Source organism: Homo sapiens, chromosome 9 (assembly GCF_000001405.40).
Source record: "Homo sapiens chromosome 9, GRCh38.p14 Primary Assembly".
Classification (NCBI taxonomy): Eukaryota; Metazoa; Chordata; class Mammalia; order Primates; family Hominidae; genus Homo; species Homo sapiens.
In genome coordinates, this window is record NC_000009.12 from 89,324,635 (window position 1) to 89,344,538 (window position 19,904).

Genomic DNA, 19,904 nt, shown 5'->3' on the forward strand with positions numbered 1-19,904 from the left:
GATTTTTTGCCTTTCAGTGTACTAGTACATTTTGGAATAGCTCCGGAAATTAACAGAAACATTTGCTGGAAGGAGGAGGTTACTATTTGTATTTTAAATCAGTTGCTTAGCATTTTGTCATTGTATCAGCTTTCATGGGAAAAAGGTTGAAACCTGTAGCCTTGTATCAAATTGGCTAAAAAAGAAAAATTAGTGTTAAATTATATTTTGGTTTAGTCTAGCAGCTTGGGATAAATTGAGGCAATAGCAACCTTCAAAGCTGGTGTCCATCTGTTAGTAAAGTGTGTAGTTAACATCCACGGTGCCGTGCGGTGTCTGCTTTGCGCTCTGACCCTGTTAGTCAGCAAAGCGCAGGATGTCATGGTGGGCTTGGAGCAGGGAAGGGCTGGAGAAAACCATTTGCAGGAGCCTTGGTGGAGGCATTGCAGGCTGTTGGGTCTCCCCGCAGCAGAGAGAATGGTCTTTAGGGGCATTTTGGCCAGGGTTGCTGGGAGAGGCTTTCCCAAATACTTGGTAGCAATTGGGTGAAAAGCTGCTGGAGCATCTTCTGGCTCTGTTGATGTTTCTTACGGACTTCCAGCTCATTAGTGAAAAAATAGAGTCAACATCTTTCTTTGCAGGGTGAGAAAGAAACACCCAGAGATTTTATTTGGCTTTTAATTAGGGATTATTCCAGTGCTAGAGTGAATGGTCTCAGAAATATTAAATGTTCAGTTTGAATTAGTTTATTACAGAAAAGCTTCTTGGTTTGCAGTATGAAATCTGCAACTAAAGTTTACACTTTTTACTTAGGCAGAAAATATATACTGAAGACATGGCCTTTGGAGCTTCAACTTTTCCACCTCAGTATTTATCTTCTGAGATAACTCTTCATCCATATGCCTATTCTCCTTATACCCTTGACTCCACACAGAATGTTTACTCAGTGCCTGGCTCCCAGTATCTTTATAACCAACCCAGTTGTTACCGAGGTTTTCAAACAGTGAAGCATCGAAATGAGAACACATGCCCTCTCCCACAAGAAATGAAAGCTCTGTTTAAGGTGAGTAGTGATGTTGTTTTGTTGTGTCCTTTAGTTGGTTGCTTTAATGTTTAAAATGTAAAGAAATGGTAAATTTGTACATCATATTTAAGTATCATGTATTTTTTTGTATTTAACCTTTTAAAAAATGATTGAATTGTGAATACTTAATATTTTGCTGCTTTAAACCTTTTTTATAGTGGTGGTTTTATTTCATGTTGCTTTTTAATCTTTCCTGCAGAAGAAAACCTATGATGAGAAAAAAACGTATGATCAGCAAAAGTTTGACAGTGAAAGGGCTGATGGAACTATATCATCTGAGATAAAATCAGCTAGAGGTTCACATCATTTGTCCATTTACGCTGAGAATAGTTTGAAATCAGGTAAAAATAACCAACAATGTAGTATAATGCGAGCCTACTCCTTGTGCCCCAGAAACATTCCTGCTATGTATACAGCTGTTTCTATGGGCTTGTTCATTGTGACTACTCCAAGAAATGAGACCTGGGTCTGACACAGCTTAGGGCGTCAGACTTCCTGAGCAATTCTAGAGGTATTTCTTCCCAGGGATGGGATTATTATTTGGTACCTGTTGCATTGTGGGATCTTAAGTGCCTATAATTTGTATTATTTGGTATATACATTTTTCTCTTTTCATTGACTTCACTCATAAACCATCTGGTACAAGGGACGTTTATTAACTGTAGTAACTGTGGTCTTATAATTAAATGAGTGGCTTCATGTAGCTGCAGCCTACCTTATCCATTGCATTTCAGGAGAAAGATGGGGAAGAGGTTATGCGTTTTATGCTACCTGCTTCCCTCTAGTTTATTCCAGCAAACTGAAAGATGGAAAGTTTACTAGCACAGAAAATTCATTAGAGTCCCTTTAAATTTGCAATACAATAAAATGTCTAAAAAGAATAATTAAAATGCCCAGCTGCACAATCAGGTTAAGGTAACTATTTCATCAGCCTTAGAATTATAGTCATGCCTCACTTACTGATGGGGACACATTCTGAGAAATGTGCCCTTAGGTGATTTCGTCATTGTGGGAACATTTAGAGTGTACTTACACAGACCTAGATGGTATAGCCAACCACCTAGCTAGGCTATATGATATAGCCTGTTGTTCCTAGGTTATAAACCTTTAGACCATATTATTGTACTGAATATTGTAGGCAGTTGTAACATAGTGGTAAGTATTTGTGTATCAAAATATAGAAAAGGTACAGCGGTGGCTCACGCCTGTAATCCCAGCACTTTGGGAGTCCGAGACGGGCGGATCACGAGGTCAGGAGATCAAGATCATCCTGGCTAACACGGTGAAACCCCGTCTCAACTGAAAATACAAAATATTAGCCTGGCGTGGTGGCGGGCACCTGTAGTTCCAGCTACTCGGGAGGCTGAGGCAGGAGAATGGCATGAACCCGGGAGGCGGAGCTTGCAGTGAGCCGAGATCAAGCGTCCCTGCACTCCAGCCTGGGAGACAGAGCGAGACTCCGTCTCCAAAAAAAAAAAAAAGATATAAAATGTTTTACCCGTATAGGGCACTTACCATGAATGGAGCTGGCAGAACTGGAAGTTGCTCTGGGTGATTCGATGACTGAGTGGTGGGTGAATGTGAAGGCCTAGGGTGTTACTGTACACTGTTGGAGACGTTCTAAACATTGTACACTTAGGCTACATGAAATTTATAAAAGTATTTTTTTCAATAATTAACCTTAGCTTACTGTAACTTTTTTACTTTATACATTTTTAATTTTTCTAACTTTCTGACTCTTGTAATAACACTTACCTTTTGTAATAAAACACAAACATGCAGAAAAACCAAAAATACTTGGCTTGGACAAAAATATTTTCTTTCTTTACATCCTTACTCTATAAGCTTTTTTCTATTAATTTTTTTTTAACTTTCTACACTTTTTAATTAAAAACGAAGACACAACCACACACATTAGCCTAGGCCTGTACAGGGTCAGAATCATCTGTATCACTGTCTTCCACCTCCACATATTGTCCCACTGGAAGGTCTTCAGGGACAGTAACATGCGTGGAGCTGTCATCTCCTGTGATAACAATGCCTTATTCTGGAATCCCTCCTGAGGGACCTGCCTGAAGCTGCTTTATACTTAAGTTTTTCTTTTGTCGTTTTGTGTTTTTTTTTTTTTTTTGAGACAGAGTCTCACTGTGTTACACAGGCTGGAGTGCAGTGGCACTATTTTGGCTCACTGCAACCTCTGCCTCCCAAGTTCAAGCAATTCTTGTGCCTCAGCCTCCCAAGTAGCTAGGGGGCATGCGCCCCCACACCCAGCTAATTTTTGTATTTTCAATAGAGTTGGGGTTTTACCATGTTGGCCAGGCTGGTCTGGAACTCGTGGCTGCATCTGCCTGCCTCAGCCTCCCGAAGTGCTGGGATTAAGGCGTGAGCCACCTTGCCCTGGCCAAATTTTTCTTTTGTAAGTAGTGGGAGTATATACTCCAAAGATAAAAAGTATAATACATAAACAAGTGACATAGTTGTTTATTGTCATTACCGAGTATTATGTACAGTACATCATCGCATGTACTATACTTTTATATGCCTGTTAGCTCAGTAGGTTTGTTTACACTGGCATCACCACAAACGTGAGTAATCGCACCATGACATTACCAGTAGACAATAGGAATTTTTCAGCTTCATTACAATCTTATGGGGCTGTTGTATACGTAATCCATTGCTGATCAGACCATCATATGTGGCGCGTGACTATACATACTCCTAAATGTACAGTGCATTTTGGTTTTTCTGCATGATGGTCCAACCAGAGTGATTGATACTTATGGTCATTTAAACTTTATACTTTTACAAAGGAAGGTGAACAACACCGGTAAGAGTTACGGTGTTTTGACAACAACCTGTTGCATCAATAGCAATAGTCTTTGTACTCTGCAATTTTTGCTTGCATACTGGTCATCAAACAGTAACTAAATTTTTACTCTTACTTTTAATTTTGTAATTACAGATGGTTACCATAAGCGAACAGACAGGAAATCCAGAATCATTGCAAAAAATGTATCTACCTCCAAACCTGAGTTTGAATTTACCACACTGGACTTTCCTGAACTGCAAGGTGCAGAGAACAATATGTCAGAGATACAGAAGCAACCCAAGTGGGGACCTGTCCACTCTGTCTCTACCGACATTTCTCTTCTAAGAGAAGTAGTAAAACCAGCTGCAGTGTTATCAAAGGTGAGGTGAGGGTTTCTCTCTTTTTCTTTTTCCTTTGTACACTTTAAATTGTCTCATTTCAAACATTACACATTAAATCTTGCTGTGGGCTTTGATGTCCATGGAGCTGGGGAGGATGTATTGGGGGAAGCCTTTCATTGTGCACTTATATGACCTTCTTTGTTTGAACAGTTTATAATGAGGCTGTAACATCTAGTGCAGCTATTGTTTTATTTGTGCGTTTTGTTTTGTTTTGTTTTGTTTTTGAAACGGAGTCTCGCTCTGTCACCAGGCTGCAGTGCAGTGGCACGATCTCAGCTCACTGCAACCTCCGCCTCCCGGGTTCAAGCAATTCTCCTGCCTCAGCCTCTCGAGTAGCTGGGACTACGGGCGCACACTGCCACGCTGGCTAATTTTTTTTTTGTATTTTAGTAGAGACGGGATTTCACCATGTTGCCCAGGCTGGTCTTGAATTCCTGAGCTAAGGCAATCCGCCTGCCTGGGCCTCCCAAAGTGCTAGGATTACAGGCGTGAGCCACCCACGCCACTGTGCCCGGCTGTAGCTATTGTTTTAAAAGAATCACCTAGTATACCTTTTTTTTTGTGGGGAGGGAGTCTCACTGTGTTGCCCAGGCTGAAGTGCAGTGGCACGATCTTGGCTTCTTGGCTCACTACAATCCCCGCCTTCCGGGTTCAAGCAGTTCTCCTGCCTCAGCCTCCGGAGTAGCTGGGACTACAGGTACATGCCACCATATCTGGCTAATTTTTTTGTATTTTTAGTAGAGATGGGGTTTCACCATATTGGTCTGGCTGGTCTCCAACTCCTGACTTCAGGTGATCCACCTGCCTTGGCCTCCCAAAGTGCTGGGATTACAGGCTTGAGCCACCGTGCCCAATCTAGTATACTCCTTTTTATATGGTAGCTGAAAGGTATTGTGGTGCCTCAGAAGGAAAAGGTTGTAACAGAGTCAAGCCGCTTTGACAGCCCATTTTCAACACGCTACTTCTAACATGCTGATAGCACTTTTTCCAATATAGAAAAAAAAGACTTTTATAAAAATTGAAATACATTAAGTCCTCACATAATGTTGTCAATAGGTTCTTGGAAACTGCAACTTTAAATGAAAGGCTGTATAGTAGGTCCTCCAGTAACATTTTCTTCACCATCATTTCATTATGATGTTGATGAAAAAAGGAATTGGTTTTGTTTTATGTTGTTTTGTTTAAAGTCACAGTTTCCAAGAACCTGTCCATGGTACTGAGGACTTAACTGTAGTAATATTTAAAACTGCATAGTGTAACTTTTGAATTTTCCAGGCTTTTATTACATCTTTGTCTTGTTAATGATGCAGCAAATTCAGGAAAACTTATTACAGCAGGTTAATTCACTTTGTTCAACATTTGATCTCAGAGTTTTAGTCCACCAAGTTGAGGCATTTCTCTCAAATGGATTGATTTGAGACTTCCAGGAAGAAATAGTGTCTGGTTAGTAGTTCCTAAAATGGCTTCTGATGAATTTCCGCTGAAGGAGCAGTGGAGTACATGCCAGTACGAAGGCAAGTAGAAAGAAGAAAGATAAAGAAAACAGGCCTCACCCATTCGCTTTACCTCTTGAATTTAGAAAGGATTTGTTTCCTGCCCTTGGACTTCTGTTAGGTGCCTGGACACTAAGGCCTGAAGGCTCAGTGACAGTTGCTGGTAATGTGCAGAAGATAGGCCATTGTGTAGCAGTTTGCATGCAGGACCCTCATACAGTTGTACCCTCACACTGTTGTAGCATGGTGCTTTCCTGTCAAAGAGCTGGGAGAAGTCAGGCCAACTGATGGCTATCTAAAAATCATAGTTCCATCTGGCCTGCTCCAGGGGCTCCAGGCTGGGTTTGTGCGGTGGCTGAATAGCCACGGCGCTGCCGGTCTTCATCACGTACCGCTCTCATGAGTGCCCTGCAGAAGTAGTCCAGGATGCTGTGTAAGCCTCAGGGTCAGCTCGTGGAGTGAGCAGGAGTGTGACTGGGGCTTTATATCAAGGTCACTTGTTACATGTGACTGTTAATGTGTTTGAACATATGAAGTAAGATAGAAGATATACATACTGATTGCTCTATTAAGAGAGTCACATACACTCTTGAATTATGTGTGGGCTTTTTAAAAAGTTATTTTCCTTCTAAAAGAAACTTTTTCCTGATGATATTAGTAATGTCTGAAAATGACAAAAAATATATATATTTGTCTGAAATTGTACAACCAAAAGAAAAGCATGCTTAACACATAATCTTTTAAAAATAGTCTATTGTGGGAATTTCCTTCACCTTGAGATTATAAATACGTACAGTCTTACGTTTGAATTGTTTAAAACTTTGTTCGTATTTTTTCCATGTCATTAAGTATTTTTTGAAAGCAACTTGCATTGGATCTCTCATACTGATAGGTATAATTTATTTAACCATTCTTGAACAGGTAAGCTATTTCTAATTTTTTATTGGCCTTGGTGAGCATAAAAGTTATGTTTACTAAAAGAACAGGCTGTGTTTTAATATTATTTTTTATTCCTGGACTCATGTTATGAATTGACAAATGGATAAATTTGTGAAGCATATGAATTTTAAAAATTATTTTAAATCCATTATCTACTTAATGGATTCAACTTTGAATCTTTTAATTTACTTTTACCTCTGGTGTTAGTCACTTGGAGGAGCCTTTTAATATACTCGACCCCCCCATACACATAGCGTCATTATATGTCTTATGTTTAATATGTGAGACAGCCTTCTGTCTTCATAACACAGGGCATACATTGCAGGCTTACATTTGTTGTCTTTGTAGACATTTTGATGGACTGTTGAACTTTGGTGTGTGCCTAGTGAATGATGGCTTTTGCATTTACATGGGATCATTGCAGCTTTAAGAATTGTGTGGTGCATCTGTGCCAACTTGTAAAGCTTGTCAGTAGTATGTTAAAGTTTTTTTAAAAGTTGCCACAATACTATGTGTGGTGTGATTCCATTATGGGAATCCGTATAAAAATATGATACACAAATGTTTATATCATAGGCAAAGAAGTAGAAGGATACTAATGAAGCTATAGATGTGGGTGGTGTTTTCCTCTAGGGAGTGAGATTTGGTTGAAGGAAGTAATTTAACTTTTCACTTTATGTACTTATATATTTGGAAATTTTAATTAGCATATATTTTGCAGATTTTAAGAATGGCAAGGGAAGCTATATTTTAAAATTAAATGATTACTTTGAAATGGAAAGTAACTGCTTAGGCTTTTTTAAAAAAATAGATTTTATGTTCGAGAGCAGTTTTAGGTTCACAGCAAAGTTGAGAGGAAAGTACAGATTTCCCATATGCCCCTTGCCTGCACACACACACACACACACAGCCTCCTTCATTATCAACATCTTGTGCTAGAGTAATGCATTTGTTACAATTGATGACCTGCATTGACATGTCATCATCACCCAAAGCGCATCGTTTGCATTAGGGTTCACTGTTGGTGTTGTGTCTTCTAAGAGTTTGGGGAAATGCATAATGATGTGTGTCTACCATAGTAGTATGGTACAGAGTGGTTTCACTGCCCTAAAAATCTTCTGTGCTTCACCTGTTTATCCCTTCCTCCCCTCAGCCCCTGCTAACTACTATCTTTTTATTGTCTCCACAGTTTTGTCTTTTCTAGAATGTCATATAGTTGGAATCATATAGTATGTAGCCCACATCTTGGCTGCTTCCAAGTTGTGGCAGTTATGAGTAAAGCTGCTATAAACATCCATGTGCAGGTTTTTGTGTGGACATAAGTTTTCACCTCCTTTGGATAATTACCAAGGAGTGCAGTGGCTAAATCATATGGTAAGAGTATGGTTAGTTTTGTAAGGAATTGCTAAACTATTAAATATCTCCCAAAGTGGCTGTAACGTTTTTCATTCTTACCAGCAATGGATAAGGATTTCTGTTGTCAAAGTGTTCTGGATTTTGATATGTAGTGTTATCTCCTTGTTTTAATTTGCATTTCTCTGATGACATCTAATGTGTTTGCTTTTTAGGGTGAAATAGTGGTGAAAAATAACCCAAATGAATCTGTAACTGCTAATGCCGCTACCAATTCTCCTTCATGTACAAGAGGTAAAAGTGGCTGCAAAAATGTTAATTTTTAAAATGTCATAGATTTTTTAAGTTCATTTTTAACTCCAGTGCAGTTGAAATGATTTTTGTTGTAAAGACTTAAGACAGCTAATGAATTGTGGGTAACCTAACATCAGTGTTAGTTTAGAAAGTTAAGTAGATGAGATCCCACATCCACACACAAAGAGTATAAAATAAGAGACAAGAATTCTAAATGAAGTACACATCCAATTCAGTGAGAAATTTTATGAACTCAGCAGTAACTACTTCCTTTAGTATTGCCTATTCTCAAAAGTTTTTGAGACCTTTAAAGATTGAGAACCCCAAAGAGCTCTTGTTTATTTGGGTGATACCTGTCAACATTTGCCCTATTCAAAGTTCAAACAAATTTGCTTAAAAATAACAATAAATTAAGCGTATTGCATTTTAAGATAGCATATTTTTAGGAAAACCGTTTTTCAAAATTAAAAAGCTGTAGTGCAGAGAGCAGCCTTGCTTTCCACTTGTGCAGCTCTGCCATCTGGCTCTGTAGATCTGCCATGGCATTCACCTGCCTCACGGTCCTGCCTCATACAGCATTTGGAAGACTCCCAGGTGTTCTCGTGAGAGAGGGAGAGTAGGGAAGGCAACTGATGTGTTTGTACTCCAGAACGGTTTTAACTCCATAGACACCTGCAAGGGTCATGGGAGCCTCCTGCCACACTGTAAGGACTGCTCATCTGTCCTGTCCTGGCCAAGAAGTAATATTTTCAGAGAGAGTTCCATGTACCCTGCTTTGATATTTTTACAGTAGCTTGTCCTAACAGAGACATTTTTACAAAATGATTCCAAATTTATTCATAGGGTGTTTTCTTTTGTGTTCTCATGTTCGATATGTATGTGGTTGAGTAATGGTCTGTACTTCACAGGCTGCTCTGAGGATGTGTAGTTCTCTAGTGAGGGGAACAGTCTGTTTTACCCTTGGGGGTAGCCACAGGCTGCTGACAGGTGTTCACCTGCCTGTGTCCTGATAGATGTCTTTGTTTTGTCTGTATATAGAGTTTCATGGGCACCTAAAGGAGTAGTGTTGCTGTACTTATGCCTCTGTTCTAAAAGAAATAAATTACCAGTTATTGTGATAGCTGAAGTCTAGTGATCTTTGACTTCTGATGTTAAAGGTACACTTCAAGGTTAGTAGGGCCAAAATTTGATCTTTAGTTCGTTAATTCTGTGTGCTTGCCACGTGGACATTTATTGTGGATTGTTGTTTTTTAACTAAAACTACTGTTTGTCTACCCACCTCCAACCCCCAGGTTAAAAAACCAGTTTCCAGGAAAATTAACCTTACAAGTTAAAAGGGAAAAAAATGCAGCATGCATGCCCCAAGAAGAAAAACAAGTTTAGTGACTACTATAGTTTCCAAGAGGATGTTTTAAATGATAGCCTACATTTAATGATGCTCTGAGCAGTTACCTCATGTAATGCATGTTTGAGTAACTAAGGAATTTCTATTTTACTGTTGAGATTGTTCAACAATTTTGGTTATCTTTGAGCAGAGTTATCTTGGACACCAATGGGTTATGTTGTTCGACAGACATTATCTACAGAACTGTCAGCAGCCCCTAAAAATGTTACTTCTATGATAAACTTAAAGACCATTGCTTCATCAGCAGATCCTAAAAATGTTAGTATACCATCTTCTGAAGCTTTATCTTCGGATCCTTCCTACAACAAAGAAAAACACATTATTCATCCTACCCAAAAGGTACGTGTCACTAGAGACAGAAAGTAGGATGGTGGTTGCCAGGGGCTCAGTAGAGTGGGGAATGAGAAGTTATTTATTAATGGGTAGAGAGTTTCAGTTTTGCTAGGGGAAATGAGTTTCTGAAGATGGATGGTGATGATGGTTGCACAACAGTGAGTGTACTTAATGCCACTGAAATATTCATTTAAAAATAGTTAAGACGGGCCGGGTGCGGTGGCTTACGCCTGTAATCCCAGCACTTTGGGAGGCCAAGGCGGGCAGATCACGAGGTCAGGAGATGGAGACCATCCTGGCTAACACAGTGAAACCCCATCTCTACTAAGAAATACAAACAAATTACCTGGGCATGGTGGCGGGTGCCTGTAGTCCCAGCTACTCGGGAGGCTGAGACAGGAGAATGGCATGAACCCGGGAGGCGGAGCTTGTAGTGAGCCAAGATCGCACCAGTGCACTCCAGCCTGGGCAACACAGTGAGACGTCGTCTGAAAAAAAAAAAAAAGTTAAGATGGTATGTTTTATGTTATATATATGGTACTATCATAAAAAAAGATTAGGGAAAAAGAGATGTGCATCACGTTTTGATTACGTTGATTTTCTGTGCCACTGAATAGTCTTTGTTTTTTAGATGGGGTCTCACTGTTGCCCAGCCTGGAGTGCAGTGGCATGATCTTGGCTCACTGCAAGCTCCGCCTCTCAGGCTCAAGCAATTCTCCTGCCTCTGCCTCCCGAATAGCTGGGATTACAGGTGCCTGCCACCATGCCTGGCTAATTTTTGTATTTTTAGTAGAGATGGGGCTTCACCATATTGGCTAGGCTAATCTCACTCCTGACCTCAGGTGACCCATCCACCTCGGCCTCCCAAAGTGCTGGGATTACTGGCGTGAGCCACCGTGCCTGGCCAGGATAGTCTTTTTTTAATCCCTCCAAATCCTAACTGTAATTGGGTTTCATTCTATACTGTAGTCACTAGTCTGAGTTTATTGTACTTACACTTTGAATAAAAAATAGGTTTTGAGTCATGAAATACAAGTGATAGCTTTCCTTTATGAGTGAGAATGTACATTTTAGACATATCGACTTAAAATATCTGTGAGCCATTTTGAATTCTTTAAAGAAGAAACGTTGGCATAAGTTTATGCTCTGGTGTATAAAGTTTCTGCTTGTTTTTCCCCCAGTCTTTGTTGAATTTAAATGGCTTTTACCAGTACAAGAGTACTAGTAGCAAAATAATTGAATTCTACATTTTGTGATCATGTGGTACGTGTCACTAATTTTTGGTTAATGGAATTTATTTACTTGTTATAAGATAGCATTCAGAATAGATTTTTTTCCCTTAAGTAATTTTAAGTGCTTTTTTTTTTTTTTTTTTTTTTTTTTTCACTGCAGCTTTGATCTCCCTGGCTCAAGCAATCCTTCCACCTCAGCCTTTCTAGCAACTGGGACTACAGGCATGCACCACCACATCCAACTAGTATTTGTATTTTTTATAGAGACAGGGTTTTGCCGTGTTTCCCAGGCTGGTCTTGAACTCCTGGGCTCAAGCAGTCCTCCTGCCTCAGCCTCCCAAAGTGCTGAGATTACAGGCGTGAGCCACCACACCCAACTTTTAAGTTACATTTTTATTGATTCCTAGAACTGTTTCTTCAAGAGCCTTTTTTTTTTATTGGTCTAAATATGGTTGTTGATTTTCATTGTATACGGATATATTATGTTAGCTTGAAATGTGGCCTTGTTTAGCGTAATGGTTTCCTGTCTTTTTGAGTATGAGGATACTTTTTGATTTCCAAAAATGTAATTAGCCCATTCCACATAAATGGTAGCTATGTATTTATAGTGGTGACAATTACTGTGAAGGTAGACGTGTGCTTGTTCCTCATTGCTCTGTGCATGTATTTGAGAGAGAGCAGTATGTGTAAGGGAGAGACCCTTCCTTTTGTGCACACACTGAACTTGACTCTCGGTGAAGCCTCCTGCCTGTCTCTGGGGCTCCTCTGGGTGGCCAGGCGCAGGCTGGACAACAGCCCACTGTCTAATTCTTTTTTTTTTTTTTTTTTTTTTTGAGATGGAGTCTTGCTCTGTCGCCCAGGTTGGAGTGCAATGGCGTGATCTCGGCTCACTGCAACCTCCGCCTCCTGGGTTCAAGCAATTCTCCTGCCTTAGTCTCCCAAGTAGCTGGGATTACAGGTGCCCGCCACCATGCCTGGCTAATTTTTGTATTGTTTTAGTAGAGACGGGGTTTCACCATGTTGGTCAGGGTGGTCTCGAACTCCTGACCTCAGGTGATCCATCTGCCTCGGCCTCCCCAAATGCTGGGATTACAGGCCTATGCCGCTGCACCTGGCCCCCCACTGTCTAATTCTTTGTTGCAGCTGCCAAGTCACTCTCAGAGCCGGTTTTCCTAATATGCAGTTAGCATTCTAAGAGTTAACAGATTTTGTTTTATTTTCCCAAGATCTTTTTTAAAAATTTTCTTAATTATAGGTCTAAGAAAAGCTTATTTTAGAAAAATTCTAAAAGATGAGAAGAAAATCAGCATCTCCTGTTATCTTCTAACCCAAATAGCTTTGCATTTTACATAGCTGGAGTGATAGTGATCAGAATGGTTTTTTTAGAAACTTTCTGTATTGTGAAATTTTATTACAGAAATGATAAGTGTAACACTTCAGTGATCTACTTATGGAAAAGGTCATCTCTCCCATACTTTTGATGCCTACCTTCAGAGAAACCTTCATTAGCAATCTGGCATATGTCCTGCCTCAGACTCATGAAAATATGAACAAAGAGAGAGGGGTTTCTCTGTTTTTTTGTTTTGTTTTGTTTTTTGTTTTCTTAAAATGCGATCATTTTATACACATTACCCTTCAACCTGTCTTTTTCACTTAGAAAAACATCATGGACAGCTCCTGTGGGTCAGTAGATAAGCATATTCTTTTTAATAGCTGCTGAGACTTTTACTTCTGAAGTGTAAATTCGCACTGGGTATAAAGCAGGGCCTAAAACAAAAAGTTCCCTGCCCTTTTAGAGCCTCCCCATTCTGATGGAGGGAGGCCGACAACACGCAGACAGATGTAGGACATGTCAGAGAGTGATCAGTGCTCTGAAGAGAAAACCATGGGCAGTCCAAGGGTAGAAAGCAACGGGTAGATGGAGATGAGGAGCAGCCCCAGCTTAGCCAAATTCTAGTGAAGGGGCTTCAGTGCAAAGGCCCTGTGGCCAAAGCACATCTGACCTGGATGAGGAGAGGCCCAGGGGGTTAGGGGCCTGTAGGAATGATGAGGTCACATTTAGCAGTCCTGGGATGGTCCCAGGTGTTTGTCTGAAGGTTCCAGGGGTGATTCTGCTCTGCAGACAGGTGTGATGTGCAGATGAGGAACGACTGGGTCGTGCTGATGGAAATGGCCTGCCTGGAATTATATGGAGAGGTTAGGCTGGGATCAGGAAGGTCACGAACACCATGATCTCCTCAAGCTGAAAACTAGGTTCTGTCCAAATCCACCAGTTTTCAAAAGGAATTGGGCATTACAACTATTTGAACAAACTTTTTTTTCCTTCAGAACTATTCTAGTGAATGCTGGCTTTTTAAAAAACAGGGGATGAGGAACCTAATTCTGAATAAAATTGTCATGTGATTATAGGACTTGATATCTTAATTTTGTTGATACATAGTATTAAACATTCTATTGACCGCCCTAAAAACAGGATTTTTTGCTTTGATTTTCTGTTCTAGTCTAAAGCATCACAAGGTAGTGACCTTGAACAAAATGAAGCCTCAAGAAAGAATAAGAAAAAGAAAGAAAAATCTACATCAAAATATGAAGTCCTGACAGTTCAAGAGCCTCCAAGGATTGAAGTACATTTATATTTTTTATTCACATGGTGTGATATAATAAGTGGGTCTTTCTTAAAAGAAACTTGGGTTCATATTGGTTTCCTAAGTGAAAATCTCCAGGGCTTTTTAATGATCATTTTTGTAGTGCTAAAGAAAACAGTAGCCACTCTTCTCACCTCTTCATTTTGGCTTCCCAGTTGTCTCAGAGCAGCCACTCAGTGAACATCCAAATGAATGAATGGTCTGGAGACAAAACTACTTGTATCAGAGTTGAATAGTTTGTGTGCCATATTACTAATATTTCCCCTCAGTTATCTTCTTTACCTGTTTTTTTTTTTTTTCTTGCTTTAGGATGCTGGCTTTTGCAGGGCCTCCTTTTCTATCCAGAAGTCTTATTATAAAGTGCTTCATTATAGAGAGAAATGTAGAATAGTATAGAACCATTGAGGGCCCAAGTCAGGAAGATTTCAGGAATTTCCAAAAGCATGCTTTAATTGTTCCATGATACTCCAAGTATGTCATGTACTCTAAGGAGCCAGCCTGGGTTCTAACTTAATTTCTCGTGTGCCTGGTTGTTTTCTTTACATTGCTGTACCAGAGCAAGTGGCCTGGCTGCTTGTGCAGGCCGAAGGCTCTCTCAGAGGTGCTGCCCAGGTGCCCAGCTTAGGGTCAAGCCCAGGCATTCCCACAGACTTGGGGTGGGGGTTCCCAAGGCTCTTAGAACATCATTTGAGAATAGCTGGGTTACATGTTTGAAAACCTACCGTGGCAGAGCATTATGGTTTAGACAAGTGAATAATTTATATTTCTGCCCCATGTTTCCCATCTTTTTCCAAGGAACCTAAAATATTGACAAAATGACATAGGCATTTTTAAGTGATTAAAAAATGGTTTTTTAGCAGGCCTGTTGCCTTTGGCTCCATTTATTAGCCTGGGTTCACCAGAGATAACATGTAAATCTACTGAATCTGGATGGTTTCTCTAATGAAAAACATAATCCTTTGAAGAACAGGTACTTGAATACTCTCATGCCAAGGTGGTCCAAGGTCAGTTCTTTAGATCCCTCGGTGTACCAAGATTGTTGGTGACACTCTTTTTTTTGGGTACAGGGGTATTAGAACTGTGGCCTTTAAATTTGCTCTAAGTTAAATAAAGCAGAAGCTCTTATGTGAGAGTTTCGCGGCTTTTTTTTTTAAATCACTTTTAAGGGACCTTACTGAAGAATGAAAATATAAGCAAGGAAAAGGTTGCACTTGGCATGTTTGCATTAACAAAAGAGCTAAAGGGGTGTGTGGTTTACTTAGGATGCCGAGGAATTTCCCAACCTGGCAGTTGCATCTGAAAGAAGAGACAGAATAGAGACACCGAAATTTCAATCTAAGCAGCAGCCACAGGTAATTTTTAGATTGAAACCACAAATTGCTTTAGGCTTAACTCTTCTGGCTCAACTAAATGCTTGAGAAAAACTGCTTTCCAGACATTTCTGTATGGTGACAGGTGGTTTTGTTTTGATTCATTCCTTCATGAGAGAACTGCACCCAGCATGTTGAAACAGAATTGCTCTTAAATAATAAGATTTTATTATTTGATAATAAGACTTATTTTATAAGATTATTATTTTATAATAAGATTTGGTAACTGCAGTTGCTAAGTTGGAAAGGAGGGGGATCATACTGCCTTATGAAACTTTAAGGGGAAAAAGTTGACTCAGTTTATTTGGGAAACGGAAGAATTTTTTTGCAAGTCAGTAATGTCTGACAGAAGAAAAATAAGAGAGGCACCACAGTTTTACTCTGTGAAGTCAAAATAGAAGCTAAAGTGGAGGTGATTCCCCTTCTCTACTCCACCACCTACCCCGTAGATTCAGGAGGGAGCTTGTGAGTCATAATTTAGATGGGGAACTTGTGTACTTGTAGACATTTATTTGCTAGGATATTCATTGTCGTTTTGCCTTTTAAAGGGGGCTGTTGTTTTCGCATTCATGAAAAATAAAATTCTAAACCTTTGTGTGAGTTAACTTTCAATTCAATGTTATAATTTACTCATCTTCCTTCCATGTAGCAGGCCTCCTTGCCTGTCCTTTGTTGCACTTGGTACTTTCCCCTGATGGGAGCCCTCAGCCAGTAGGGTTTTTGGTGTCCTCTAAGAGAACACTTGGCAGGAGAATGGAGCGGAGGCACTAAAGCAAATGGGACACCATGCCTCAGGACATACCACTGGGCTTCCTTGTACAACTTTTTATATAGTCTCAAAACCCAAATCACAACAATTTCAAAAATAACACTTGTTTTGAGCATATCAGACTTTGAGCCTGCATTTAATATTATTTGCTGAGTATGATTTGGGCTTATGTAGACTTTTGGTTGTATCACTATAATTTCATGGCATTTGTTGGTTTACGGAGGCATTTGGAGAGAGAATGGGCTAATGAGGCGATAGTACTAACCAAGTAGCCTCACACACAGACTTTGTAGCCAAAGACTTTATACAAGTGCTAGTGTCTTGCCTGTAGATGTGTATTGTTGACTACTCACAATGGAGATATAGACAAAAGTGTAGGTGATTTAATATAAACCCAATGTTCTGAAAGAAGGAAGACATAAACAACCATGGTAATACTGGCAGATAATGTGGGATTGATTTTTTTTCCTTTCATTACTTGAATTTTTAAAAATTCTTTTTTATAGTCTCAATCTTTTTCATTTTATCTTTACATCAGTTTTTTGTAAAAAGAAAAGCACAGTTTGTATAGTTTTATAAGTAAACTTACGAATTTTGAACTTTCAGGATAATTTTAAAAATAATGTAAAGAAGAGCCAGCTTCCAGTGCAGTTGGACTTGGGGGGCATGCTGACAGCCCTGGAGAAGAAGCAGCACTCTCAGCATGCAAAGCAGTCCTCCAAACCAGTGGTAGTCTCAGGTAAGAGAGTCTTTCCATCTCAGGCAAGTGATTGGAAGTCTTTTTCAGCTAGATTATTATGTTACCATTTTCTCTTGTTATCAAAAGTTATTTATAGATAAAACAGTGTGATGCTAGAATAAGCATAGATAAGGACCTGTGGAATAGAATTAAGAGTCCAGAAATAAATTCATGGATCTGTGACCAATTGATTTTTCATAAGTATGCAAAGTCCATGAATAGAACAAAGAACAGTCTCTTTAAAATGGTATTAGAACATCTAGATTTCCACATGCTAAAGAATAGTCATACCTCCTACCTCACACCATAGATCCAAATGAACTCAAAATGAATCAATGAGCTAAATATAAGAGCTAAAACTATAAAACTCTTAAAAGAAAACGGGTAAATCTTCATGATCTTTTATTAGACATTGGATTTTCAGATATGGCACCAAAAAGATGGGCAACAAAAGAACAATAAACTTTGGACTTCATTAAAATTAAAAATTTTTGCATACCGAAGGACATTATCAAGAAAGCGGAAAGACATCTTACAGAATGGGAGAAAATATTTGCAAATCATGTATCTGATAGGGGATTAATATTCAAATATTTAGGAACTCCAGCTGAATAGCAAACAATCCAATTTAAAAATGGGCAAAGGACTGGAAAAGACATTTCTCCAGAAGTACACAAGTGGTCAATAAGTGCGTGAAAAGATACTCAATATCATTAGTCATCAGGGAAATAAATATTAATCAAAAGTACAGTGAAATACTATTTCCCACCTAGTGGGATGATTATAATCCAAAAACAGAAAATAACAGGTGTCAGTGAAGATGTGGAAAAATTGGAACCCCGTACGCTGCCGGTGGGAATGTAAAATGGTGCAGCCATTGTGGAAGACAACCTGGTGGCTACTTAACAATGCTCAATGCAGTTACTACATGACTCAGCGATTTCACTCCTCAGCATTTACCCAAAAGAAGACAGACTTAGACACTTTTACACTGGGGTTTGTTATGGCATTATTCACAATAACCAAACGGTAGAAACAGCGCAAATGTTCATTACCACATAATGGTGTAAACAAATGTGGTATACCTACACAATGTAATATGCAACCTTAAAAAAGGAATGAATTCTTATACATGATACAACATGAAAGAAACCTGAAAACATTATACCATATAAAATTAGCTAGACACAGAAACACAACTACTGTGTGATTCCACCTAAAAGAAATATCTGGAATAGGCAAATTCATAAAAGCATAGATTAGAGGATACCTGGGGCTGAGGGGAAAAGGAATAGTGAGTTATTATTAATGGGGACAGAGTATTCATTGGAGCATTAAAAAGTCTTGAAAATGGATAGTAGTGATGGTTACACAACATTGTGAATATAATTTATGCAGCTGAATTGTGCACTTAAAAACAGTTAAAATGGTACATTTTATGTCATATTACCACAATTAAAACATTTTTAAGTTATTAAAATAGGATGATTTTTAAAAATTGATCTTATTAAAAGATGAGCTTTCCACTTGATATGATGACATTGTGTAGCTGAAAATCTCCTTATCTGTAGAAGTGTCCTGAGTTTCTGAAGATCTTTACTGTCTGGGTGAGGAAGCTGCATTCCATGGAAATGGTTTACTGCCTGTGCATGGGGCACCACTGGGAACAGTGTTGAGTAGTGCTGATGTGGCTGCCTCTTTCCTCTGACACATCTTCTCTTAAGAGCCAAGACAGTTAAAACGCACAATATGTCATAAAAAGCAACATGAAAATTTTCCACCATAGGCTTTTAGATATGTTTCTTCCTTTTGAAGTAGTTTATTATTTCAAAAAACTCTACTTTTTTTTTAAATCTGTGGATCTTCTTTTTTTTAAACTTTTATTTTAGATTCAGGGGTACACATGCAGGTTTGTTATATAGGTAAACTTGTGTCATGGGGGTTTGTTGTACAGATTATTTTGTCACGCAGGTACTAAGCCTGGTAACCAATAGTTATTTTTTCTGATATTCTCCTTCCTCCCACCCTCAAGTAGGCCCCAGTGTCTGTTGTTCCCTCCATGTGTCCATGTGTTCTCATCATTTAGCTCCCAATTATAAGTGAGAACATGTGGTATTTGGTTTTCTGTTCCTGCGTTAGTTTGCTAAGGATGGCCTCCAACTCCATCCACGTTCCTACAAAGGACGTGGTCTCATTCTCTTTTATGACTGCATAGTATTCCATGGTGTATATGTACCACATTTTCTTTATCCAGTGTACTGTTGCTGGGCATTTAGGTTGATTTCATGTCTCTGCTATTGTGAATAGTACTGCGGTGAACATTCACATGCATGTGTCTTTATAGTAGAATGATTTATATTCCTTTGGGTATATACCCAGTAATGGGATTGCTGGGTCAAATGGTATTTCTGTTTTTAGGTCTGCTGAATCACCACACTGCTTTCCACAGCGGTTGAACTAATTTACACTCCCAGCAACAGTGTATAAGCGATTCTTTTTCTCCGCAACCTCGCCAGCTTCGTTGTAGCCATTCTGACTGATGTGAGATGGTATCTCATTGTGGTTTTGATTTGCATTTCTCTAATGATTAAGTGATGTTGAGGTTTTTCTCGTATGCTTGTTGGCCACGTGTATGTCTCTTGAAAAGTGTCTGTTCATGTCCTTTGCCCACTTTTTAATGGGGTTTTTTTTCTTGCAAATTTGTTTAAGATCCTTGTAGATGTTGGCTATTAGACCTTTGTCCGATGGATAGATTGCAGAAATTTCTCCCATTCTGTAGGCTGTCTGTTCACTCTGATGATGGTTTGTTTTGCAATGCAGAAGCTCTTTAGTTTAATTAGATCCCATTTGTCAATTTTTGCTTTTGTTGCAGCTTTTGATGTCTTTGTCATGAAATCTTTGTCAGTTCCTGTGTCCAAAATGGTATTGCCTGGGTTGTCTTTCAGTGTTTTTATAGTTCTGGGTTTTACGTTTAAGTCTTTAATCCATCTTGAGTTGATTTTTGTATGTGGTGTAAGGAAGGGGTCCAGTTTCAATTTTCTGCATATGGCTAGCCAGTT

General features: G+C 39.2%; 1 protein-coding gene across 38 annotated transcripts in view; it reads left to right on the top strand.

Annotated features, from left to right (window-relative positions):
• SECISBP2 (SECIS binding protein 2) overlaps positions 1–19,904 on the top strand; it is a 48,618-nt gene that overhangs the window by 6,135 nt on the left and 22,579 nt on the right. For 16 of the 38 annotated variants that reach the window (XR_007061351.1, XR_007061350.1, XR_007061352.1 and 13 more), the window contains exons 3-10: positions 793–1,042; positions 1,263–1,404; positions 4,026–4,252; positions 8,274–8,352; positions 9,888–10,096; positions 13,824–13,946; positions 15,230–15,319; positions 16,713–16,845. Coding sequence is in view for 25 of the 38 variants with exons in the window: in XM_047423856.1 (XP_047279812.1) it covers positions 793–1,042; positions 1,263–1,404; positions 4,026–4,252; positions 8,274–8,352; positions 9,888–10,096; positions 13,824–13,946; positions 15,230–15,319; positions 16,713–16,845 (1,253 nt within the window). In the remaining 13 variants the exon portion in view is untranslated. Of the gene's footprint in view, positions 1–792; positions 1,043–1,262; positions 1,405–4,025; positions 4,253–8,273; positions 8,353–9,413; positions 9,522–9,887; positions 10,097–13,823; positions 13,947–15,229; positions 15,320–16,712; positions 16,846–19,904 lie in introns of those variants that run through there. The other 22 variants (XR_007061354.1, XR_007061349.1, NM_001354697.2 and 19 more) reach the window with 12 other exon arrangements.